This window comes from Homo sapiens, chromosome 8 (genome assembly GCF_000001405.40).
Source record: "Homo sapiens chromosome 8, GRCh38.p14 Primary Assembly".
NCBI classification, from domain to species: domain Eukaryota; kingdom Metazoa; phylum Chordata; class Mammalia; order Primates; family Hominidae; genus Homo; species Homo sapiens.
The window spans coordinates 128,743,153-128,769,744 of record NC_000008.11 but is presented as its reverse complement, the minus strand read 5'-3'; the positions used below and the strand labels follow the sequence as shown (position 1 = coordinate 128,769,744).

Sequence of the window (26,592 nt, the reverse complement as noted above, 5' to 3'; positions counted from 1 at the left end):
ATTTGTGGTCTAAGAAGATACTTGATATAATTTTGATTTTCTTAAATTTATCAAGACTTGTTTTATGACCTTTCATATGGTCTATCTTGGAGAATGTTTCATGTGCTGATGAAAAGAATGTATATTCTGCAGCTGTTAGGTAGAATGTTCTGTAAATATCTGCTAAGTCCATTTGTTCCAGGGTATAGTTTATGTCCGTTATTTCTTTGTTAACTTTGTCTTGATGGCCTGTCTAGTGCTGCTAGTGGAGTATTAAAGTACCCTACTGTTATTGCATTGCCCTCTATCTCATTTCTTAGGTCTGGGAATATTCGTCTTACGAATTTGGAAGCTCCAGTGTTAGGTGCATAAATATTTAGGATTGTGATATTTTCCTGTTGGACCAATCCCTGTATCATTACATAATGTCCCTCTGTCTTTTTTTTTAACTGTTTCTTTAAAGTCTGATTTGTCTGATTTACGAATAGCTGCTTCTACTTGCTGTTAGTTTTCATTTGTGTGAAATATCTTTTTCAATCTCTTTACCTTAAGTTTATGTGAATCTTTATGTATTAGGTGAGTCTCTTGAGGAAGGCAAATATTTGCCCAGTGGATTTTTATTCATTCTGCCAGTCTGTATCTTTTAATTCAGGGTGTCTAATCTTTGACTTCCCTGGGTCATGTTGGAAGAAGAAGAATTGTCTTGGGCCACACATAAAATACACTAACAATAGCTGATGAGCTAAAAAAAGAAAAAAATCACAAAAAAAGTCATAATGTTTTAAGAAAGTTTATGGATTTGTGTTGGGCTGTATTCAAAGCTATCCTGAGCTGCATGCAGCCTGCAGGCTGCAAGTTAGACAAGCTTGTTTTGGGTGGAGCCTTTAGGCCATTTACATTCAACATTAGTATTGAAATGTAAAGTACCGTTCTATTCATCATGCTAGTTGTGATTCAATGCCTTGTTTTTTTCACTGTGTTATTGTTTCATAGGTCCTGTAAGGTTTATGCTTTAAGGAGGTTCTATTTCGGTATATTTCAAGGTTTTATTTCAAGATTTAGAAATTCTTCTGGCATTTCTTGTATTGCTGGCTTGGTATTGGTGAATTCTCTCAGCATTTGTTCATCTAAAAAAGACTTTATCTCTCCTTCATTTATGAAACTTAGATTGACGAATACAAAATTCTTGGCTGGCTTGTAAGATTCCTGCTGAGAAACCTGCTGTTAATCTGATAGGTTTTCCTTTATAGGTTACCTGATGCTTTTGTCTCACATCTCTTATGATTCTTTCCTTCATCTTGACTTAAGATAACCTGATGATTTATGTGCCTAAGTGATTATCTTTATGTGATGAATTTCCGCAATGTTCTTTGAGAGTCTTGTACTTGGATGTCTAGATCTCTAGCAAGGCAAGGGAAGTTTTCCTCAATTATTCCCTCAAATAAGCTTTCCAAACTGTTAGATTTCTCCTCAGGAACACCAATTATTCTTATGTTTGACCATTTAACATAATCCCAAGTTTCTTGGAGGGTTTGTTCATTTTTTAAAACCCTTTTTACTTTGTCTTTGTCTGACTGGATTAATGTGAAGGCCTTGTCTTTAAGCTCTGAAGTTCTACTTGTTGTAAGTCTATTGTTGAAACTTTTCAGTGCATTTTGTATTTCTCTAAGTGTGTCTTATATTTCCTGAAGTTCTGATTGTTGTTTTCTTTATATCTATTTCTCTGCAGAATTTTTCAACCATATTCTGCATTTTAAAAAATTTGTTTAAGTTGATTTTCATTTTTCTCTGGTATCTCCTTGAGTAGCTTAATAATCAACCTTCTGAATTCTTTATCTGACAATTCAGAGATTTCTCCTTGGTTTGGATCCATTACTGGGGAGCTAATGTAATCTTTATCTTTTAGGGGGTCTTACAAATCCCTGTTTTGTCATATTACTGGAGTACTTTTCTAGTTCCTTCTCATTTGGGTAGACTATTTAAGTGGAAAGGCCTGGAACTCAAGGCCTGCTCTTTAGATTCTTTTGTCCCATGGGATGATCCCTTGATGTGGTACCCTTCCCCTTCCCCTAGGGATGGGTCTTCCGGAGAGCCAGACTTCAGTGATTATTATTTCTCTTCTGGGTCTAGCCATTCAGCAGGACTACCAGGCTCTGGGCTGGTGCTGGGGAATGTCTGAAAATAGTCCTCTGATATGATCTGTCTTCAGGTGTCCCAGCCATGGATACCAGCACCTGCTCTGGTGGAGGTGGCAGTGGAGTGAAATAGACTCTGTGAGAGTCCTTGGTTGTAGATATGTTTAGTCCACTGGCTTCCTTGAATGTTGGCTATGCTAGCAGTGAAGTTGTCACACAGACAGGCTCAGGACCTCTGGTTAACCAGGATGTTGCAGGCAGTAGAATTAGCTGTTGTTTTCTCCTTCCTGGGAGCAGGGTTATTCTGTCATGAGTTGCTGTAATGGCCTAAGTTGGTTGGCCTCCAGCAAGGAGGTGACTCTTTCAAGAGAGCACCAGCTGCCGTAGTAGTAGGGGGATCTATCTAAGCTTAAGCTTGCCCTAAGTTGGCCAGGTTGAGTATTCTGGTTTCTCAAGTGATGGGTCATAAGACCCTGAAGAGTTTATTTGTTTTGTGTTCAGGTACCAGGGTGGGTAGAGAAATACTATCAGGTGGGAGCAGATTTAGGCAGATCTGGGCTCAGACTCTCCTTGGGTGGGGCTTGCTATTGCCACTGTGGAGGTAGGAGGGGGTGGCTCTCAGACCAATACAGTTAAGTTCCGTAAGGGATTATGGCTGCCTCTGCAGTGTCATAGTTTGCCAGGGAATTGGGGGATAGTTACTAATGAAAGGCCTTACCCAGTTCCTACATGGTTGGCAAGAAGCCTTGCTCCACAGTGCCCTGCTCAGACCTTCCCCCAGACAGTAAGCTTCCCTGCTAAGAAAGCAAGCACAGCTTTTAGGCCTCTCCCTCCCCATCTGCCCACAATATTGGCAGTGGACTCTTGCACTCATGTCTCCAGCAGTTCCTATTTGCTTCTGGATTCTGCTTAAGAAAATTCATGCCCAGTCGAAATTATCCCAAATTTCAATTGGAAGCTTCTTTCACCCTGTGACCCCTCTTTAATTTTGGTGGCTGCCTTCTCCAAGGGCCCCAGTGGAATATAGTCAGGGATGGCTTCCCTGGGCTTGAGCTGGGGACCTAGAATGCCTACAAGGCTTTTCCTGCTGCTGCTTCCACTTTCATATTTTGCGCAGCTCCCTAAATTCATTTCAGCTCTGGGTAAGGTTAAATCCTTCTCCTGTGATCTGGATTTTCAGATTCCCCAGTAAGGATGCATGTTCTGAGGCAGGTTTTCCCCACTCGCACTTTGGGAATTCAGTTTTTCTCCTGTCTCATGGAATTTGCAACAGCATGACACTTCTTTCAAAGGGTCTGTGAATTCCTTCAGTTTTCCTCGTGCATTCTTGTGGTGGTTCTTGGAGCAAATGTTCATAGTGTGAGCCTCCACACACTGTTCTGTCCATCCAGATGGAAATTGAACATTAACCCTGTCTCCTATACACCATCATCTTCCTCAAAAAATGAGCTTGTTTTAATTTTTAGCTCCCACAAATAAGTGAGAATATGTGAAGTTTGTCTTTCTGTTCCTGACTGATTTTACCTAACGAATTCCATTTTCATCCATGTTGTTGCAAATAATGGAATCTCATTTCTTTTATGACTGTAGGTTCCATCTTCATTTTGTTGATTGTTTCCTTTGTTGTGCAGGAGCTTTTTTTTTTTTTTTTGTACTTTAAGTTATAGAGTACATGTGCACAACGTGCAGGTTGGTTACATACGTATACATGTGCCATGTTGTTGTGCTGCACACATTAACTCGTCATTTACATTAGGTATATCCCCTAATGCTATCCCTCCCCCCTCCCCCCAACGCACAACAGGCCCTGGTGTGTGATGTTCCCCTTCCTGTGTCCATGTGTTCTCATTGTTCAATTCCCACCTATGAGTGAGAACATGTGATATTTGGTTGTTTGTCCTTGTGATAGTTTGCTAAGGATGATGGTTTCCAGCTTCATCCAAGTCCATACAAAGGACATGAACTCATCCTTTTTCATGGCTGCATAGTATTCTATGGTGTGTATGTGCCAAATTTTCTTAATCCAGTCTATCATTGTTGGACATTTGGGTTGGTTCCAAGTCTTTGCTATTGTGAATAGTGCCACAATAAACATACGTGTGCATGTGTCTTTATAGCAGCATGTTTTATAATCCTTTGGGTATATACCCAGTAATGGGATGGCTGGGTCAAATGGTATTTCTAATTCTAGATCCTTGAGGAATTGCGACACTGTCTTCCACAATGGTTGAACTAGTTTACAGTCCCACCAACTGTGTAAAAGTGTTCCTATTTCTCCACATCCTCTCCAGCATCTGTTGTTTCCTGACTTTTTAATGATCACCATTCTAACTGGTGTGAGATGGTATCTCATTGTGGTTTTGATTTGCATTTCTTTGATGGCCAGTGATGATGAGCATTTTTTCATGTGTCTGTCAGCTGCATAAATGTCTCTTTTGAGAAGTGTCTGTTCATATCCTTTGCCTACTTTTTGATGGGGTTGTTTGTTTTCTTCTTGTAAATTTGTTTGATTTCTGTCTAGATTCTGGATATTAGCCCTTTGTCAGATGAGTAGATTGCAAAAATTTTCTCCCATTCTTTAGGTTACCTGTTCACTCTGATGGTGGTTTCTTTTGCTGTGCAGAAACTCTTTAGTTTAATTAGATCCCATTTGTCAATTTTGGCTTTTGTTGCCATTGCTTTTGGTGTGTTAGACATGAAGTCCTTGCCCATGCCAATGGTATTGCCTAGGTTTTCTTCTAGGGTTTTTATGGTTTTAGGTCTAACATGTAAGTCTTTAATCCATCTTGAATTAATTTTTGTACAAGGTGTAAGGAAGGGATCCAGTTTCAGCTTTCTACATGTGGCTAGCCAGTTTTCCCAGCACCATTTATTAAATAGGGAAGCTTTTCCCCATTTCTTGTTTTTGTCAGGTTTGTCAAAGATCAGATGGTTGTAGACGTGTGGTATTATTTCTGAGGGCTCTGTTCTGTTCCATTGGTCTATAGCTCTGTTTTGGTGTCAGTACCATGCTGTTTTGGTTACTATAGCCTCGTAGTATAGTTTGAAGTCAGGTAGTGTGATGCCTCCAGCTTTGTTCTTTTGGCTTAGGATTGACTTGGTGGTGCGGGCTCTTTTTCGGTTCCATATGAACTTTAAAGTAGTTTTTTCCAATTCTGTGAAGAAAGTCATTGGTAGCTTGATGGGGATGGCATTGAATCTATAAATTACATTGGGCAGTATGGCCATTTTCACAATATTGATTCTTCCTATCCATGAGCATGGAATGTTCTTCCATTTGTTTGTGTCCTCTTTTATTTCATTGAGCAGTGGTTTGTAGTTCTCCTTGAAGAGGTCCTTCACATCCCTTGTAAGTTCGAATCCTAGGTATTTTATTCACTTTGAAGCAATTGTGAATGGGAATTCACTCATGATTTGGCTGTCTGTCTGTTATTGGTGTATAAGAATGCTTGTGATTTTTGCACATTGATTTTGTATCCTGAGACTTTGCTGAAGTTGCTTATCAGCTTAAGGAGATTTTGGGCTGAGACGATGGGGTTTTCTGATACACAACCATGTCATCTGCATACAGGGACAATTTGACTTCCTCTTTTCCTAATTGAATACCCTTTATTTCCTTCTCCTGCCTAATTGCCCTGGCCAGAACTTCCAACACTATGTTGAATAGGAGTGGTGAGAGAGGGCATCCCTGTCTTTTGCCAGTTCTCAAAGGGAATGCTTCCAGTTTTTGCCCATGGAGTATCATATTGGCTGTAGGTTTGTCATAAATAGCTCTTATTATTTTGAGATATGTCCCATCAATACCTAATTTATTGAGAGTTTTTAGCATGAAGGGCTGTTGAATTTTGTCAAAGGCCTTTTCTGCATCTATTGAGATAATCATGGGGTTTTTGTCTTTGGTTCTGTTTATATGCTGGATTACGTTTATTGATTTGCGTATATTGAACCAGCCTTGCATCCCAGGGATGAAGCCCACTTGATCATGGTGGATAAGCTTTTTGATATGCTGCTGGATTTGGTTTGCCAGTATTTTATTGAGGATTTTTGCATCAATGTTCATCAGGGATATTGGTCTAAAATTCTCTTTTTTTGTTGTGTCTCTGTCAGGCTTTGGTATCAGGATGATGCTGGCCTCATAAAATGAGTTAGGGAGGATCCCTCTTTTTCTATTGATTGGAATAGTTTCAAAAGGAATGGTACTAGCTCCTCCTTGTACCTCCGGTAGAATTTGGCTGTGAATCCATCTTTTCCTGGACTTTTTTTGGTTGGTAGGCTATTAATTATTGCCTCAATTTCAGATCCTGTTATTGGTCTATTCAGGGATTCAACTCCTTCCTGGTTTAGTCTTGGGAGGGTGTTTGTGTCCAGGAATTTATCCATTTCTTCTAGATTTTCTAGTTTATTTGCATAGAGGTGTTTATAGTATTCTCTGATGGTAGTTTGTATGTCTGTGGGATCGGTGGTGATATCCCCTTTATAATTTTTTATTGTGTCTACTTGATTTTTCTCTCTTTTCTTCTTTATTAGTCTTGCTAGCAATCTATCAATTTTGTTGATCTTTTCAAAAAAAACAGCTCCTGGATTCACTGATTTTTTGAAGGGTTTTTTGTGTCTCTATCTCCTTCAGTTCTGCTCTGATTTTAGTTATTTCTTGCCTTCTGCTAGCTTTTGAATGTGTTTGCTCTTGCTTCTCTAGTTCTTTTAGTTGTGATGTTAGGGTGTCAATTTTGGATCTTTCCTGCTTTCTCTTGTGGGCATTTAGTGCTATAAATTTCCCTCTACACACTGCTTTGAATGCGTCCCAGAGATTCTGGTATGTTGTGTCTTTGTTCTTGCTGGTTTCAAAGAACATCTTTATTTCTGCCTTCATTTTGTTATGTACCCAGTAGTCATTCAGGAGCAGGTTGTTCAGTTTCCATGTAGTTGAGCGGTTTTGAGTGAGTTTCTTAATCCTGAGTTCTAGTTTGATTGCACTGTGGTCTGAGAGACAGTTTGTTATAATTTCTGCTCTTTTACATTTGCTGAGGAGTGCTTTACTTCCAAGTATGTGGTCAATTTTGGAATAAGTGTGATGTGGTGCTGAAAAGAATGTATATTCTGTTGATTTGGGGTGGAGGGTTCTGTAGATGTCTATTAGGTCTGCTTGGTGCAGAGCTGAGTTCAATTCCTGGATATCCTTGTTAACTTTCTGTCTCGTTGATCTATATAATGTTGACAGTGGGGTGTTAAAGTCTCCCATTATTATTGTGTGGGAGTCTAAGTCTCTTTGTAAGTCACTCAGGACTTGCTTTATGAATCTGGGTGCTCCTGTATTGGGTGCATATATATTTAGGATAGTTAGCTCTTCTTGTTGAATTGATCCCTTTACCATTATGTAATGGCCTTCTTTGTCTCTTTTGATCTTTGTTGGTTTAAAGTCTGTTTTATCCGAGACTAGGATTGCAACCTCTGCCTTTTTTTGTTTTCCATTTGCTTGGTAGATCTTCCTCCATCCCTTTATTTTGAGCCTATGTGTGTCTCTGCACGTGAGATGGGTTTCCTGAATACAGCACACTGTTGGGTCTTGACTGTTTATCCAATTTGCCAGTCTGTGCCTTTTAATTGGAGCATTTAGCCCATTTACATTTAAGGTTAGTATTGTTATGTGTGAATTTGATCCTGTCATTATGATGTTATCTGGTTATTTTGCTTGTTAGTTGATGCAGTTTCTTCCTAGCCTTGATGGTCTTTACAATTTGGCATGCTTTTGCAGTGACTGGTACCAGTTGTTCCTTTCCATGTTTAGCACTTCCTTCAGGAGGTCTTTTAGGGCAGGCCTGGTGGTGACAAAATCTCTCAGCCTTTGCTTGTCTGTAAAGTATTTTATTTCTCCTTCACTTATGAAGCTTCATTTGGCTGGATATGAAATTCGGGGTTGAAAATTCTTTTCTTTAAGAATGTTGAATATTGGCTCCCACTCTCTTCTGGCTTGTAGAGTTTCTGCCGAGAGATCAGCTGTTAGCCTGGTGGGCTTCCCTTTGTGGGTAACCCGACCTTTCTCTCTGGCTGCCCTTAACATTTTTTCCTTCATTTCAACTTTGGTGCATATAACAATTATGTGTCTTGGAGTTATTCTTCTCGAGGAGTATCTTTGTGGCGTTCTCTGTATTTCCTGAATCTGAACGTTGGCCTGCCTTGCTAGATTGGGGAAGTTCTCCTGGATGATATCCTGCAGAGTGTTTTCCAACTTGGTTCCATTCTCCCCGTCACTTTCAGGTACACCAATCAGACGTAGATTTGGCCTTTTCACATAGTCCCATATTTCTTGGAGGCTTTGTTCATTTCTTTTTATTCTTTTTTCTCTAAACTTTCCTTCTCGCTTCATTTCATTCACTTCATCTTCCATCGCTGATGATACCCTTTTTTCCAGTTGATCGCGTCGGCTCCTGAGGCTTCTGCATTCTTCATGTAGTTCTCGAGCCTTGGCTTTCAGCTCCATCAGCTCCTTTAAGCACTTCTCTGTATTGGTTATTCTAGTTATACATTCGTCTAAATTTTTTCAAAGTTTTTAACTTCTTTTCCTTTGGTTTGAATTTCCTCCTGTAGCTCGGAGTAGTTTGATTGTCTGAAGCCTTCTTCTCTCAACTCGTCACAGTCATTCTCTGTCCAGCTTTGTTTTGTTGCTGGTGAGGAACTGCATTCCTTTGGAGGAGGAGAGGCACTCTGCTTTTTAGAGTTTCCAGTTTTTCTGTTCTGTTTTTTCCCCATCTTTGTGGTTTTATCTGCTTTTGGTCTTTGATGATGGTGATGTACAGATGGGTTTTTGGTGTGGATGTCCTTTCTGTTTGTTAGTTTTCCTTCTAACAGACAGGACCCTCAGCTGCAGGTCTGTTGGAGTTTGCTAGAGGTCCACTCCAGACCCTGTTTGCCTGGGTACCAGCAGCGGTGGCTGCAGAACAGCAGATTTTCGTGAACCACAAATACTGCTGTCTGATCGTTCCTCTGGAAGTTTTTCCTCAGAGGAGTACCCGGCCGTGTGAGGTGTCAGTCTGCCCCCACTGGGGGGTGCCTCCCAGTTAGGCTGCTCGGGAGTCAGGGGTCAGGGACCCACTTGAGGAGGCAGTCTGCCTGTTCTCAGATCTCCAGCTGCTTGCTGGGAGAACCACTTCTCTCTTCAAAGCTGTCAGACAGGGACATTTAAGTCTGCAGAGGTTACTGCTGTCTTTTTGTTTGTCTGTGCCCTGCCCCTAGAGGTGGAGCCTACAGAGGCAGGCGGGCCTCCTTGAGCTGCGGTGGGCTCCACGCAGTTCGAGCTTCCCGGCTGCTTTGTTTACCTAAGCAAGCCTGGGCAATGGCGGACGCCCCTCCCCCAGCCTCACTGCTGCCTTGCAGTTTGATCTCAGACTGCTGTGCTAGCAATCAGCCAGACTCCGTTGGCGTAGGACCCTCCGAGCCAGGTGCGGGATATACTCTCCTGGTGCCCCATTTTTTAAGCCCGTTGGAAAAGTGCAGTATTAGGGTGGGAGTGACCTGACTTTCCAGGTGCTGTCTGTCACCCCTTTCTTTGACTAGGAAAGGAAACTCCCTGACCCCTTGTGCTTCCCGAGTGAGGCAATGCCTCGCCCTGCTTCAGCTCGCGCACGGTGCACTGCACCCACTGTCCTGCGCCCACTGTCTGGCACTCCCTAGTGAGATGAACCCGGTACCTCAGATGGAAATGCAGAAATCACCCGTCTTCTGTGTCGCTCACGCTGGGAGCTGTAGACCGGAGCTGTTCCTATTCGGCCATCTTGGCTGCCCCTCGACCTTTATTTCTCTCTCTTGTCTGAATCCTCTAAGACTTCTAGTACTAGGTTAAATAACAGTGGTAGAGTGGGAATCCTTGTATTGTTTCAAACCTTAAAGGAAAGGCTTTCTATTTTCCCTATTCAGTATGATACTAGCTATGGGTCTGTTGTATATGGCTTTTATTATATTGAGGTATGTTTCTTCTGCACCCAGTTTTTTGAGGGTTTTTTTCATAAAAAATGTTGAATTTTATCAAATGCTTTTTCAGCATCAATTGAAATGATCAGACGGTTTTTGTCTTTCATTCTGCTGAACTATGTACCATATTGATTCATTTGCATATGCTGAACCATCCTTGCATTCCTGAGATAAATCCCACTTGATCATGATAAATTGTATTTTTACTATATTGTTGAATTTGGTTTGCTAATATTTGTTGTTAATTTTTGCATCAGTATGCATCAGGGATATTAGCCTGTAGTTTTCTCTTATTATTATTTTTTATATGTCTTTGTCTGGTTTTGGTATCAGGGTAATATTGGCCTAAAGGAATGAGTTTGAAAGTACTTCCACCTCTATTTTTCAGAAGAGTTTGAGTAGGATTGGTATCAGTTCTTCTTTAAATGTTTGATAGAATTCAGCAGTGAGGCTGTTGGGTCCCAGGGTTTTCTTTACTGGGAGACTTTTTATTCCAGCTTTCAAACCCATTACTTGTTTGGTTTTTTTTTGTTGTTTTTTTTTTTTTTGAGACAGAGTCTTGCTCAGTCGCTCAGGCTGGAGCGCAGTGGCACGGTCTCAGCTCACTGCAAGCTCTGCTTCCCGGGATCATGCCATTCTCCTGCCTCCGTCTCCCGAGTAGCTGGGACTACAGGTGCCCGCAACCACACCTGGCTAATTTTTTTTTTTTTTGTACTTTTAGTAGAGATGGGGTTTCACTATATTAGCCAGTATGGTCTCGATCTCCTGACCTCGTGATCCACCTGCCTCGGCCCCCCAACGTGCTGGCATTACAGGTGTGAGCCACCGTGCCCGGCCCAAACCCATTACTTGTTATTAGTCTGTTCAGGTATTGAATTTCTTCATGGCTCAATCTTGGTAGGTTGTGTCTAGAAATGTATCCATTTCCTCTAGATTTTCCAATTTATTGGTATATAGTTGCCTACAGTAGCCACAAATACTCCTTTAAAATTCTGTGTTATCAGTTGTAATGTCTCCTTTTTCATCTCTTATTTTATTTATTTGGGTTTTCTTTCTTTTCATCTAAGTTATTCTGGCTAATTATATGTCAACTTTGTCTTTTCAAAAAACAAATGGTTGCATCAATCATTTGTTTTGTTTTCTTCAATTCAGTTTTATTTATTTGTTCTCTGATCTTTATTATTTCTTTACTTCTACTAATTGTGGGTTTGGTTTGCTCTTTTTTTTTTAGTTCTTTAAGATGCATCAATAGGTTACTTAAAGTTTGTTTTTCTTTTTTGATGTAGGCACTTACATATTTCCCTCTTATTACTGCTTTTGCTATATCCCATAGGTTTTGTTATGTTGTGTTTCCATTATCATTTGTTTCAATAAATTTTTCAGTTTTCTTCTAAAATTTCTTCATTGACCCACTGGTCATTCAGGGACATATTGTTTATTCACCATGTGATTATATAGTTTCCAAGTTTCCTGTTGTTATTGATCACTAGTTTTATTTCATTGTTGTCAGAGAAGATGTTTGATATTATTCAATTTTTTGGAATCTTTTAAGACTTGCTTTGGGACGTAACATGTGGTTTATTTTTGAGAATAATTTATGTGTTAAGGAAAAGAATGTGTATTCTGCAGGAAATGTTTTGTAAATCTCTATTAGGTCCTTTTGTTCTATAGTGCAGATTAAGTCCAATGTTTTCTTGTTGATTTTCTGTCTGGAAGATCTGTCCAATTCTGAAAGCAGGATGTTGAAGTCTCCAGCTGTTACTGTATTGAGGTCTATTTCTCTCTTCAGCTCTAATAATATTTGCTTTATAAATCTGGGTGCTTCAGTGTTGGGTGCACATATATTTACAATCGTCATATCTGTTGAATAATTAACCCCTTTATTATTATTTAATGACTTTCTTTTTCTCTCCTTTCAGTTTTTTCTTGAAGTCTATTTTGTCTGATATAAGCATACCTTCTCCTACTTTTTTGGGGCTTTCATTTGCATGAAATATCATTTTCCATCCCTTTATTTTCAGTCTATGTGTATCTTTGTAGGTGAAATATGTTTCTTGTAGGCAACAGGTCACTGTGTCTTGTTTATTTTTATTTATTTATCCACTCTATGTCTTTTTATTGGAGAGTTTAGGTAATGAATATTCAATGTAATTATTAATAGATAAGGACTTACTTCTCTTATTTTGTTATTGTTTTCTGGACTTCTCTTTCTTTTTCTTTCCTTCTTGTCTTTCTTTTAGTAAAGATAATTTTCTCTGATAGTATGTTTTAATTTTTTGCTTTCGATTTTTTGTGTATACCTTGTATATTTTTTGATTTCAGATTACCATAAGACTTGCAAATACTATCTTATAACTTATTATTTTTATTTATTTATTTTGAGACAGCTTCACTCTTGTCACCCAGGCTGGAGTGCAATGGCACGATCTCGGCTCACTGCAACCTCTGCTTCCCAGGCTCAAGTGATTTTCCTGCCTCAGCCTCCTGAGTAGTTGGGATTACAGGCATCATGCCTTGCTAGTTTTTGTATTTTTAGGAGAGACTGGGTTTCACCGTGTTGGCCAGGCTTGTCTCGAACTCCTGACCTCAGGTGATCCACCAGCCTTGGCCTCCCAAAGTGCTGGGATTACAGGCATGAGCCACCGTGCCCTGCCATAACTTGTTATTTTAAACTGATGACAAAAATGGATTGCATAAACAAACAAGCAAAAGAAAACTAATAAAAACTCTCAACTTTAATTTTGTCTCCCTGCTTTTTAACTCTCTGTTGTTCCTCTTTACGTTTTATTTGTAGTGTCTATGTTTTGAAAACTTATCGTTGTTATTTTTGATTGGTTCATAATTTAGTCTTTCTACTTAATATAAGAGTAATTTACACACCATAATTACGATATTATAATAATTTTTGTTTTCATGCATACTTACTATTACCAGTGAGTTTCATACCTTCAGATGATTCCTTATTGCACACTCACATCCTTTCCTTTCTGATTGAAGAACTCCCTTTAGCATGTATTGTTGGACAGATCTGATATTGTTGAAATCCCTCAGCTTTTGTTTGTCTGGGAAAGCTTTTATTTATCCTTTACGTTTGAAGAACATTTTCACCAGGTATTCTATTCTAGGGTAAATGTTTGTTTTCTTTAACACTTGAAATATGTCATTCCACTCTCTCTTGCCTGCAAGGTTTCCACTGAAAGCCTGCTGCCAGACGTTTTGTAGTTCCATTGTATGTTATTTGTTTGTTTTCTCTTATTGCTCTTGGGATTCTTTCTTTATCCTTGACCTTTGAGAATTTGATTATTAAATGCCTTGATATAGTCTTCTTTGGGTTTAATCTGCTTGGTCTTCTATAACCTTGTACTTCAATATTGATATCTTTCTCTAAGTTTGGGAAGTTCTCTAATATTATCTATTTGAATAAACTTTCTCCTCTTATCTTTTTCTCTACCTCCTCTTTAAGGCCAATATCTTTGATTTGCTCTTTTGACATAATTTTCTAGATTTTGTAGGTGTGCTTTACTGTTTTGCATTTTTTTCTCTTGTCTCCTCTGCCTATGTATTTTCAAATATTATTTCTTCAAGCTCAGCAATTCTTTCTTCTGTTTGATCAATTCTGCTATTTAGAGACTGATGGCATTCTTCAGTATGTCAATTGCATTTTTCAACTCTAGAATTTCTGCTTGACTCTTTTCAATTATTTTAACTCCTGTTAAATGTGTCTGATAGAATTCTGAATTCTTTCACTGTGTTATCTTGAATTTCTTTGAGTTTCTTCAAAACAACTATTTTAAATTCTTTATCTGAAAGTTCACATAATTCCTGTTTCTCCAAGATTGGCTCCTGGTGCCTTATTTAGTTTGTTTGATGAGGTCATGTTTTCATGGCTGATCTTGATGCTTGTAGATATTTGTCAGTGTCTGGGCATTTAAGAGTTAGTTATTTATTGTAGTCATCACAGTCTGGCTTGTTTGTGCCTGCTCTTCTTGTGAAGACTTTCCAGGTATTCAAAGGGACTTGCACCCTGAACCCAGTAATGTTGTGGTTTTTGCAGGCTCATAGAGGTACCACCTTGTGGTCTCGGATAAGATTGGAAAGAATTCTCTGGATTACCAGAGATTCTTGTTCTCTTCCCTTACCTTCTCCCAAAATAACTGAGTCTCCTCTGTGTCTTTGCTGAGCCATCTGGAGCTGATGGTGGGGTGACACAAGCACCACTGTGGTTACCACCAATGGAACCACCATGGGTCAGGCCTGAAGCCAGCATGGAACTGGGTCCTGCCCAAGGCCTAATGTAACCACTACCTGACTACCATCTGTGTTCACTCAAAGCCCTAGAGCTCTACAGTCAGCAGGTGGTAAAGCAAGCCAAGTTTATATCCTTCCTTTCAGGGCAACAAATTCCCCTATGCTCTAGGTGGGTTCAGGGTTTTTGTCTGGGAGGCAGGAGTTGAAGTCAAAAACCTTAGAAATCTACCTGCTATTCTATTCTACTACAGCTAAGCTGGCACTCAAACCACAAGGCAAAGTTCTTCCACTCTTCTCTCTCCTTTCCACAGGTAGTGCTGCCTCTCCCCATGGCTGTCACAACCACTGGCACACTGAGAGTTCTGGAAGGTTACCACTTGTGTTCACTTAGCCTCCATGGGCTCTTCAGTCAGCTCATGGTTAATGCTGCTAGGCCTCAACTCCCTCTTCCAGGAAGTTGGATCCTCTCTGGCCTGGGGAAGGTCCAGAAATGTTTTCCAACAGCCTAGGTCAGGATCGAGGGACCCCAAGAGGCTGCTTGGTGCTCTACCCTACTTTGGCTGAGCTGGTACCTGAAACCAGCACATCTCTAAGTAAGTCTTACGAAAGGTTCATGGTATACTGTTGGTTATTCAGCGCCCAAGGATTCCTTAGTCAGAAGGTGCTGAATACGGCCAGGACTGGGTCTCTCCCTTCAAGGCTGTGGGTTCCTTTCTGGCCCAAAGTGTGTCTGGAAATGTCCAGGAGCTAGAGCCTGGGATGGGGGCCCCATGACTCTGTCTAGTGCCCTGTCCTCCTGTGGCTGAGCTGGTATCTAAGATACAAGACAAAATCCTCTTTATGCTTTTCTCTTCTAGAGTGGAAAGAAGCAGTCACTGTCATTGCTGTGAGCTGCATTGCACAGGGTTTTGGGTGGGTGGCATAGCACTTCCTCAGTCCCTCTGTCTGATGTCTCAGTAGGTCAGGCACTGCCCCAGTCCACTGGCTCTAAGCCCAGCACAGCATCAGAACTTCTCAAGAATTGGAATCCTTGTGTCTTAGCCTGCCTTTCAAGTTCACTTAGAACCCCAGAGCACTTAACTCCTAGTGGCAAGGCTTGTTGAGAAACTCAGGTACCGACCACTGGGTTGGGCACTTCCCCTCTGTCTAGGTCGGGTCCAAATGCTTCCTCTGTGGAAAGGTGCCAACTGAGTCAGTGTCATTTTGTTTTCTGCTGTGACAGGGCAGCACTGAGTTCAATGCAAAGTTCCCCAGTTCATATGCTCTCCTTCTCTCAAGTGCACAGATTCTTTCCCTATGCCATATAGTCACTGCCTGGGGAGTGGGGAGAAGTGGCATTGATGATATAAGATTTTCTTGCCTAGCCTCTGTAGTTCCTCTTTCAGTGACATGAAATTAAAACCAGGTACTATCAGTGCTCACTTGATTTGCGCTTTTATGAAGGTGCTTTTTAGTGTGCAGATAGTGTTAAAATTTGGTGTTCCTACAGAGGGAATAATTGGTGGAGGCTTCTATTCAGCCATCTTGCTCCACCCTCAGCATGCCAATTCTTATTTAAAGATAGTCTATCAGGGTTTGGATTGGGGTCACATTGAATCTGTATATCAACCTGGAAGAAATTGACATCTTGACAATATAAAGTATTCCAATTCATGAGCAAGATATATTTCTTCATTTATTTATATCTTCCTTTTTGTTCTCCCAATACTGTTTTATAGCTTTCAGTGTGCAGGTATTATTTATATTTTGTCAAACTTGTCCCTAAGTATTTTATGTTTTATTAAACTTTTATAAAATTTAATTTTAAATTTCATTTTTCTAAAATTTGTTACTAGTATGTAAATAGGCAAATGATGTTTGTATAATGACATTGTGTTGTATAACCTTACTTAATTCACAAAACTTTTTATGTATGTGATGTTGTCCATAAGAAGGATAATTTTATTTATTTATTTCCAATCTATATAACTTTTATTTCGTCTTACACGCACTACTACAATGGCCAGGACCTCTAATTTGTTGTTGAATAGAAGTAGTGATAGTGGACATTTTCTTATTTCTCTTCTTCTAGAGAAAACATTAAATCACAAACCGTAATATATAATGATAGCTGTAGGGTTTTTTAGATGCATTTTGCTGGGAATTTTTTCATAGTTTTTTTTTCATTTCTTGAAATAATCATATGATTTTTATCTTTTATTCTGTTAGTATGGTGAATTACACTGCTTGACTTTTAAATGTCGTATTAACTTGGTATTTCTAAAATAAAACCCAGTTGGTCATGATGTATTATATTTTGTTAGATTTAATTTGTTAATACCTTGTGAAGGATTTTCTTTTTTATCTTCATGAAAAGTATTAGTTTATAGTTATCTTTTCTTATATAATATTTATTTTCAGTTTAAGTGTTAGGGTAATGTTGGCCTAAAAATTCCACTAAAATATGTCTCCTCCTTCCCTGTTATCTGAGATTGTGTAAGATGGATATAATTTCTTTTTAAAGTGTTTAATAAAATTGACAAATGAAAATACTCAGGACTGAAATTTTCTTTGTGGAAAGGCTCATGTTCACAAATTGTATTTTAAAAATAGATATATTAATATTTTCTATTCTTCCTATATCCATTTTGATAACTTATATCATTTAGGGAATATGTGCATTTTATCTGTATTGTTAGATTTATTGACATAGAATTGTTCATAATATTCATCAGGTACAATTTAATATTCATAGTATCTGTAGTTACATCTGCATTTCACTCTGAATATTGCTATTTGTCCTCTCCCTCTCTCTCTTTTTAGTTTCCTAAGAAAAATATCAACTGCCAATCTTTTTAAAAAGACAGATTTTTGTTTTATTTCTATTCTCTATTGTTTAACATTTTGTATTTCATTGATTTTTGTAATTATTATTTACCTTCTACTTATTTGGGGTTGAATTTCCTTTTTTATAGCTTCTTAATGTGAAAGCTTAGATTATTGACTTTAAATCTGTCTTTGTTTTCTACCAAAAACATTTAGTGTTATGAACTAATTTAGAATTATTTAGATTTTTTTAGAATTTCCAAATATTTGGGGTCTTCTAAAAATGTTTATGTATTTTTCTCATATTTCTAATTTTATACTGTTGTGGCTAGAAGTAATACTCTGTATATTTTTGACCTCTTTAAATTAATTCATTCCAGTTTTATGACCCAGCACATGACTTATCTTGGTGAATGTTGGTGAATGTTAGTGGACACTTGAAGAGCTCTAAAAATATCAGTTATGTCAGGTTGGTTAATAACATTGCCCACATGTTCTACATCTGTCCTTATTTTCTTTCTACTTTTTTATCCCTATCAAGAAAAGAGTTCAGGTGTGTAACCACCATTTTGGATGTGTCTTTTTTCAGTTTGGTCAGTTTTTGCTTTAAAAATGTTGAACCATTGTTCTAAGTGCACACATACTTAAGAATGTGCCTTGATAAACTATTTTATCGTTATAAAATGCCATTATCTAAATGAATTACAAGCAATATTATTTGATCTAAAGTCTAATTTATAAGATAATAATACAGCCATTTAGTATTCCTTATGACTAGTGCTTGCATTGAATATGTTTTTCATCATTTTTAACTTATCTATGTTTTTGTATTTCAAGAGTGTTTCTTGTTGACAGAATATGATTGGGTTGTGCCTTTGCATTTAGTTGGAGTCTTTCTTTAGATCATTGGCATATAATATATTTATCAATATGGTTGGATCTAAAGCTATTATATTAGTGTTTACTTTATATTTGTTTTATCTGTAGTTTTTCTCGTTTTTCTCTTTTGCTGCCTTATTTGTGTTGACTAATATTTAATATTTCATTCCGTGTCCTCTATTGATTTACTAGCTATATCTCTCTTTAAGTTTTAGTGGCTGCTCTGGGCTTTACAATATGTATCTCTAACTTGTTATAATCAATCTTTACTATCTTCAAAGTCTATTTGCCATTTCAAGAAATACAAGAATGTTACACAATACATTTCCATTTCTCCATCATACAGTTTGTGCTATTGTTATACATTTTTACAACTATAATATAAAACATTATAAAAAACCATTTCAAAAAATCTTTATCCTCATGTTTGCTATTTCTAGTATCCTTCATTTCTTTGAGTAGATCCAGACTTACATGTGGTATTATATCCCTTCAACTTGAATAATTTCTTTAATATTTTTTGGTAGTGCAGTTTTACTGATGATAAATTTTCTGTTTTTTGTTTGCCTGAAAAATGTCATGTTTTAATTTTTACTTATGAAGAATATTTTCACATAAAATGAAATAGTATCTTGATGATATTTTATTGTTTTTTCAAACATTAATGTGATTCTGTTGTCTTCTGGCTTGGATTTATTCTGATGAGAATTCAGCGATTAGTCTTGACTTTATCTCATATACAATGTATGGTTTTTACTCTGGCTACTTTAAGATTTTCATGATTTCTGTCTTTAGCAATTTGATAATGAGAGACTTTGGTTTTGTTTTCTTTCAATTATCCTTCTTGGTGAATGCAGAGTTTCTTTGATCTATGTGTTTATACGCTTCATTGTTTTTTTTTAAGTTTGGGCCAGTATATTTTTAAACACTCTTCCTGCAACTTCTCTTCTTTTTCTCTTTGATACTCCAATTACATGTATGTTAGACAGCATAATATTGTGTTACAGATTCCTGAAGTTGTTTTTTTAAACTATTTTTTTTCTCTATGCTTCATTTTGGATACTATCTAATTGTTTTTTGTTTTGTTTTGTTTTTTTTAATTTTTTTTATTATTATACTTTAAGTTTTAGGGTACATGTGCACATTGTGCAGGTTAGTTACATACGTATACATGTGCCATGCTGGTGCGCTGCACCCACTAACTCTTCATCTAGCATTAGGTATATCTCCCAATGCTATCCCTCCCCCCTCCCCCCACCCCACAACAGTCCCCAGAGTGTGATATTCCCCTTCCTGTGTCCATGTGATCTCATTGTTCAATTCCCACCTATGAGTGAGAATATGCGGTGTTTGGTTTTTTGTTCTTGCGATAGTTTACTGAGAATGATGGTTTCCAATTTCATCCATGTCCCTACAAAGGACGTGAACTCATCATTTTTTATGGCTGCATAGTATTCCATGGTGTATATGTGCCACATTTGCTTAATCCAGTCTATCAATGTTGGACATGTGGGTTGGTTCCAAGTCTTTGCTATTGTGGATAATGCCACAATAAACATACGTGTGCATGTGTCTTTATAGCAGCCTGATTTATAGTCCTTTGGGTATATACCCAGTAATGGGATGGCTGGGTCAAATGGTATTTCTAGTTCTAGATCCCTGAGGAATCGCCACACTCACTTCCACAATGGTTGAACTAGTTTACAGTCCCACCAACAATGTAAAAGTGTTCCTATTTCTCCACATCCTCTTCAGCACCTGTTGTTGCCTGACTTTTTAATGATTGCCATTCTAACTGGTGTGAGATGGTATCTCATTGTGGTTTTGATTTGCATTTCTCTGATGGCCAGTGACGGTGAGCATTTTTTCATATGTTTTTTGGCTGCATAAATGTCTTCTTTTGAGAAGTGTCTGTTCATGTCCTTTGCCCACTTCTTGATGGGGTTGTTTGTTTTTTTCTTGTAAATTTGTTTGAGTTCATTGTAGATTCTGGATATTAGCCCTTTGTCAGATGAGTAGGTTGTGAAAATTTTCTCCCATTTTGTAGGTTGCCTGTTCACTCTGATGGTAGTTTCTTTTGCTGTGAAGAAGCTCTTTAGTTTAATTAGATCCCATTTGTCAATTTTGTCTTTGTTGCCATTGCTTTTGGTGTTTTAGACATGAAGTCCTTGCTCATGCCTATGTCCTGAATGGTAATGCCTAGGTTTTCTTCTAGGGTTTTTATGGTTTTAGGTCTAACGTTTAAGTCTTTAATCCATCTTGAATTGATTTTTGTATAAGGTGTAAGGAAGGGATCCAGTTTCAGCTTTCTACATATGGCTAGCCAGTTTTCCCAGCACCATTTATTAAATAGGGAGTCCTTTCCCCATTGCTTGTTTTTCTCAAGTTTGTCAAAGATCAGATAGTTGTAGATATGCGGCGTTATTTCTGAGGGCTCTGTTCTGTTCCATTGATCTATATCTCTGTTTTGGTACCAGTACCATGATGTTTTGGTTACTGTAGCCTTGTAGTATAGTTTGAAGTCAGGTAGTGTGATGCCTCCAGCTTTGTTCTTTTGGCTTAGGATTGACTTGGCGATGCGGGCTCTTTTTTGGTTCCATATGAACTTTAAAGAGTTTTTTCCAATTCTGTGAAGAAAGTCATTGGTAGCTTGATGAGGATGGCATTGAATCTGTAAATTACCTTGGGCTGTATGGCCATTTTCACGATATTGATTCTTCCTACCCATGAGCATAGAATGTTCTTCCATTTGTTTGTATCCTTTTATTTCCTTCAGCAGTGGTTTGTAGTTCTCCTTGAAGAGGTCCTTCACATCCCTTGTAAGTTGGATTCCTAGGTATTTTATTCTCTTTGAAGCAATTGTGAATGGGAGTTCACTCATGATTTGGCTCTCTGTTTGTCTGTTGTTGGTGTATAGGAATGCTTGTGATTTTTGCACATTGATTTTGTATCCTGAGACTTTGCTGAAGTTGCTTATCAGCTTAAGGAGATTTTGGGCTGAGACAATGGGGTTTTCTAGATATACAATCATGTCATCTGTAAACAGGGACAATTTGACTTCCTCTTTTCCTAATTGAATACCCTTTATTTCCTTCTCCTGCCTAATTGCCCTGGCCAGAACTTCCAACACTATGTTGAATAGGAGTGGTGAGAGAGGGCATCCCTGTCTTTTGCCAGTTTTCAAAGGGAATGCTTTCAGTTTTTGCCCATTCAGTATGATATTGGCTGTGAGTCTGTCATAGATAGCTCTTATTATTTTGAAATATGTCCCATCTATACCTAATTTGTTGAGAGTTTTTATCATGAAAGGTTGTTGAATTTTGTCAAAGGCCTTTCCTCCATCTATTGAGATAATCATGTGGTTTTTGTCTTTGGCTCTGTTTATATGCTGGATTACATTTATTGATTTGCATATATTGAACCAGCCTTGCCTCCCAGGGATGAAGCCCACTTGATCATGGTGGATAAGCTTTTTGATGTGCTGCTGGATTCGGTTTGCCAGTATTTTATTGAGGATTTTTGCATCAATGTTCATCAAGGATATTGGTCTAAAATTCTCTTTTTTGGTTGTGTCTCTGCCCGGCTTTGGTATCAGGATGATTCTGGCCTCATAAAATGAGTTAGGGAGGATTCCCTCTTTTTCTATGGATTGGAATAGTTTCAGAAGGAATGGTACCAGTTCCTCCTTGTACCTCTGGTAGAATTCGGCTGTGAATCCATCTGGTCCTGGACTCTTTTTGGTTGGTAAGCTATTGATTATTGCCACAATTTCAGCTCCTGTTATTGGTCTATTCAGAGATTCAACTTCTTCCTGGTTTAGTCTTGGGAGAGTGTATGTGTCGAGGAATTTATCCATTTCTTCTAGATTTTCTAGTTTATTTGCGTAGAGGTGTTTGTAGTATTCTCTGATGGTAGTTTGTATTTTTGTGGGATCGGTGGTGATATCCCCTTTATCATTTTTTATTGCATCTATTTGATTCTTCTCTTTTTCTTTATTAGTCTTGCTAGCGGTCTATCAATTTTGTTGATCCTTTCAAAAAACCAGCTCCTGGATTCATTAATTGTTTGAAGGGTTTTTTGTGTCTCTATTTCCTTCAGTTCTGCTCTGATCTTAGTTATTTCTTGCCTTCTGCTAGCTTTTGAATGTGTTTGCTCTTGCTTTTCTAGTTCTTTTAATTGTGATGTTAGGGTGTCAATTTTCGATCTTTCCTGCTTTCTCTTGTGGGCATTTAGTGGTATAAATTTCCCTCTGCACACTGCTTTGAATGCGTCCCAGAGATTCTGGTATGTTGTGTCTTTGTTCTCGTTGGTTTCAAAGAACATCTTTATTTCTGCCTTCATTTCGTTATGTACCTAGTAGTCATTCAGGAGCAGGTTGTTCAGTTTCCATGTAGTTGAGCGGTTTTGAGTGAGATTCTTAATCCTGAGATCTAGTTTGATTGCACTGTGGTCTGAGAGACAGTTTGTTATAATTTCTGTTCTTTTACATTTGCTGAGGAGAGCTTTACTTCCAATTATGTGGTCAATTTTGGAATAGGTGTGGTGTGGTGCTGAAAAGAATGTATATTCTGTTGATTTGGGGTGGAGAGTTCTGTAGATGTCTATTAGGTCCGCTTGGTGCAGAGCTGAGTTCAGTTCCTGGGTATCCTTGATGACGTTCTGTCTCGTTGATCTGTCTCTAATGTTGACAGTGGGGTGTTAAAGTCTCCCATTATTAATGTGTGGGAGTCTAAGTCTCTTTGTAGGTCACTCAGGACTTGCTTTATGAATCTGGGTGCTCCTGTATTGGGTGCATATATATTTAGGATAGTTAGTTCTTCTTGTTGAATTGATCCCTTTACCATTATGTAATGGCCTTCTTTGTCTCTTTTGATCTTTGTTGGTTTAAAGTCTGTTTTATCAGAGACTGGGATTGCAACCCCTGCCTTTTTTTGTTTTCCATTTTCTTGGTAGATCTTCCTCCATCCTTTTATTTTGAGCCTATGTGTGTCTCTGCACGTGAGATGGGTTTCCTGAATACAGCACACTGATGGGTCTTGACTCTTTATCCAGTTTGCCTGTCTGTGTCTTTTAATTGGAGCATTTAGTCCATTTACATTTAAAGTTAATAGTGTTATGTGTGAATTTGATCCTGTCATGATGAAGTTAGCTGGTTATTTTGCTCGTTAGTTGATGCAGTTTCTTCCTAGTCTTGATGGTCTTTACATTTGGGCATGATTTTGCAGTGGCTGGTACCGGTTGTTCCTTTCCATGTTTAGCACTTCCTTCAGGAGCTCTTTTAGGGCAGGCCTGATGGTGACAAAATCTCTCAGCATTTGCTTGCCTGTAAAGTATTTTATTTCTCCTTCGCTTATGAAGCTTAGTTTGGCTGGATATGAAATTCTGGGTTGAAAATTCTTTTCTTTAAGAATGTTGAATATTGGCCCCCACTCTCTTCTGGCTTGTAGAGTTTCTGCCGAGAGATCCGCTGTTAGTCTGATGGGCTTCCCTTTGAGGGTAACCCGACCTTTCTCTCTGGCTGCCCTTAACATTTTTTCCTTCATTTCAACTTTGGTGAATCTGACAATTATGTGTCTTGGAGTTGCTCTTCTCGAGGAGGATCTTTGTGGCGTTCTCTGTATTTCCTGAATCTGAACATTGGCCTGCCTTGCTAGATTGGGGAAATTCTCCTGGATAATATCCTGCAGAGTGTTTTCCAACTTGGTTCCATTCTCCCCATCACTTTCAGGTACACCAATCAGACGTAGATTTGGTCTTTTCACATAGTCCCATATTTCTTGGAGGCTTTGCTCATTTCTTTTTATTCTTTTTTCTCTAAACTTCCCTTCTCGCTTCATTTCATTCATTTCATCTTCCATCGCTGATACCCTTTCTTCCAGTTGATCGCATCGGCTCCTGAGTCTTCTGCATTCTTCACGTAGTTCTGGAGCCTTGGCTTTCAGCTCCGTCAGCTCCTTTAAGCACTTCTCTGTATTGGTTATTCTAGTTATACATTCTTCTAGATTTTTTTTCAAAGTTTTCAACTTCTTTGCCTTTGGTTTGAATGTCCTCCCATAGCTCAGAGTAATTTGATCGTCTGAAGCCTTCTTCTCTCAGCTCCTCAAAGACATTTTCGGTCCAGCTTTGTTTTGTTGCTGGTGAGGAATTGCATTCCTTTGGAGGAGGAGAGGCGTTCTGATTTTTAGAGTTTCCAGTTTTTCTGCTCTGTTTTTTCCCCATCTTTGTGGTTTTATCTACTTTTGGTCTTTGATGATGGTGATGTACAGATGGGTTTTTGGTGTGGATGTCCTTTCTGTTTGTTAATTTTCCTTCTAATAGGACCCTCAGCTGCAGGTCTGTTGGAGTACCCTGCAGTGTGAGGTGTCAGTGTGCCCCTGCTGGAGGGTGCCTCCCAGTTAGGCTGCTCAGGAGTCAGGGGTCAGGGACCCACTTGAGGAGGCAGTCTGCCCGTTCTCAGATCTCCAGCTGCGTACTGGGAGAACCACTGCTCTCTTCAAAGCTGTCAGACAGGGACATTTAAGTCTGCAGAGGTTACTGCTGTCTTTTTGTTTGTCTGTGCCCTGCCCCCAGAGGTGGAGCCTACAGAGGCCGGCAGGCCTCCTTGAGCTGCGGTGGGCTCCACCCAGTTCGAGCTTCCCGGATGCTTTGTTTACCTAAGCAAGCCTGGGCAATAGTGGGCGCCCCTCCCCCAGCCTCACTGCCGCCTTGCAGTTTGATCTCAGACTGCTGTGCTAGCAATCAGCGAGACTCCGTGGCGTAGGACCCTCCGAGCCAGGTGGGGGATATAATCTCGTGGTGCGCTGTTTTTTAAGCCCGTCGGAAAAGCGCAGTATTCTGGTGGGAGTGACCCGATTTTCCCGATTTTCCAGGTGCCGTCCGTCACCCCTTTCTTTGATTAGGAAAGGGAACTCCCTGACCCCTTGCGCTTCCGGAGTGAGGCAATGCCTCGCCCTGCTTCGGCTCGCGCACGGTGCGCGCACCCACTGACCTGCGCCCACTGTCCGGCACTCCCTAGTGAGATGAACCCGGTACCTCAGATGGAAATGCAGAAATCACCCGTCTTCTGCGTCGCTCAGGCTGGGAGCTGTAGACCGGAGCTGTTCCTATTTGGCCATCTTGGCTCCTCCCTCTCTGGATACTATCTAATTGTTATGCCAATGAGTTCACTTTTACTTCATCCTGTAGTGTTTAATTTGCTAAGTCTATCAAATATATATTCTTTTTAATTTCCAAAATTTCATTTTTATTTTTAGATGTTCTGTTGGGTTCTTTTTTATGGCTTCCATTTCATTCATCATCTTGTCCATGCTTTCCTTGAAATTATTGAACATAAAGTTATAAAGCTCTTATTTGCTTGCTAATTCCAACAGTGCTGTCATTTCTGAGTTTGTTTTTATTAATTGTTCTCCTGATAATGAATTACATTTTACTGCTTCTTTGCATGTCTAGTAATTTTAGACTAGATGCTTAACACATTGAATGTTACATTGTGTAGTGTATGATTTTGTTGACTATTTTTAACAAATGTTGAGTTTCGTTTTGTCAAATATGTTTGTTCTTTGCACATAGTCTTGGCCATTTTGAAGCTTGTTTTTAAATTTTCTCTAGGTGGCTCTAGTGTTTCCTTTACTATAGAATTAGTTTTGTACTACTACTATGATATGGCCTTTTTGAGGTCCCTACTGATGGTCCTGTTTAGAAGTCCAACACTTTATAACCTTTGTCAGCTCTGGTAATTGTTTATTTTACAGCTTTTTAGTAGTTATTTTCTTCTTTGAGTAACTGATTTTTGGCTAGACTTTTAGACTAGACTCTTACTTCACACCTGGGCAGGAAGGGGATACCTAGGCAGATTTAAGGATATCTTTTGCTTTATGTATATCCTCTTTCTGGGTACTCTGTCCCACAAAATCTGCAGGACTCAATGTCTTGAACTTTTATCTTTGCCTCTTTAACTTAGTAAGATTGTTGAGCTTGTATTAGATTTGGTCTTTTTTATGGAATGAATTGTGTTCCCTGTAAATTTATCTATTAAAGCTCTAATCCCCATACCTCAGAATCTAACTGGATTTGAATGTAGGGCCTTTAATAGGTAATTATTAAAAGTCAGGGATGGTGGCTCATGCCTGTAATCTCAGCACTTTGAAAGGCCAAAGTGGGCAGATTATGTGAGGTCAGGAGTTTGAGACCAGCCTGGCCAACATAGTGAAACCCCATCTCTACTAAAACAACAACAACAACAACAACAAAAAAAAAAAACAAAATTAGCCAGGTGTGGTGGCAGGTGACTGTAATCACAGCTACTCAGATGGCTGAGGCAGGAGAATCACTTGAATCTGGGAGGCAGAGGTCGCAATAAGCCAAGATCACGCCACTGTACTCCAGCTTGGGTGACAAGAGTGAAGCTCCTTCTCAAAAAAAAAAAAAAGGTAATTAAGTTAAAATGAGGCCAATAGTCCTCAAAGACCAATTGGACCTTATCCAATTGGACTGGTGTCCTTATAAGAGGAAGTTTGGACCTACAGGAGATTCCAGGAATGCACATGCAAGAAAAAAAGACCAGATGAGAATACAGCGAGAG

The 26,592-nt window shown here is 39.0% G+C and overlaps 2 annotated features.

Annotated features, from left to right (window-relative positions):
* Positions 603 to 1,543: an enhancer, noted in NCBI's record as "OCT4-NANOG hESC enhancer chr8:129780448-129781388 (GRCh37/hg19 assembly coordinates)". NCBI's record gives its function as "activates a minimal SCP1, AML or CMV promoter by ChIP-STARR-seq in naive H9 embryonic stem cells {active_cell/tissue: H9 hESC(naive)}" and the evidence as "EXISTENCE:reporter gene assay evidence [ECO:0000049][PMID:30033119]".
* Positions 24,262 to 24,868: an enhancer, noted in NCBI's record as "H3K27ac-H3K4me1 hESC enhancer chr8:129757123-129757729 (GRCh37/hg19 assembly coordinates)". NCBI's record gives its function as "activates a minimal SCP1, AML or CMV promoter by ChIP-STARR-seq in naive H9 embryonic stem cells {active_cell/tissue: H9 hESC(naive)}" and the evidence as "EXISTENCE:reporter gene assay evidence [ECO:0000049][PMID:30033119]".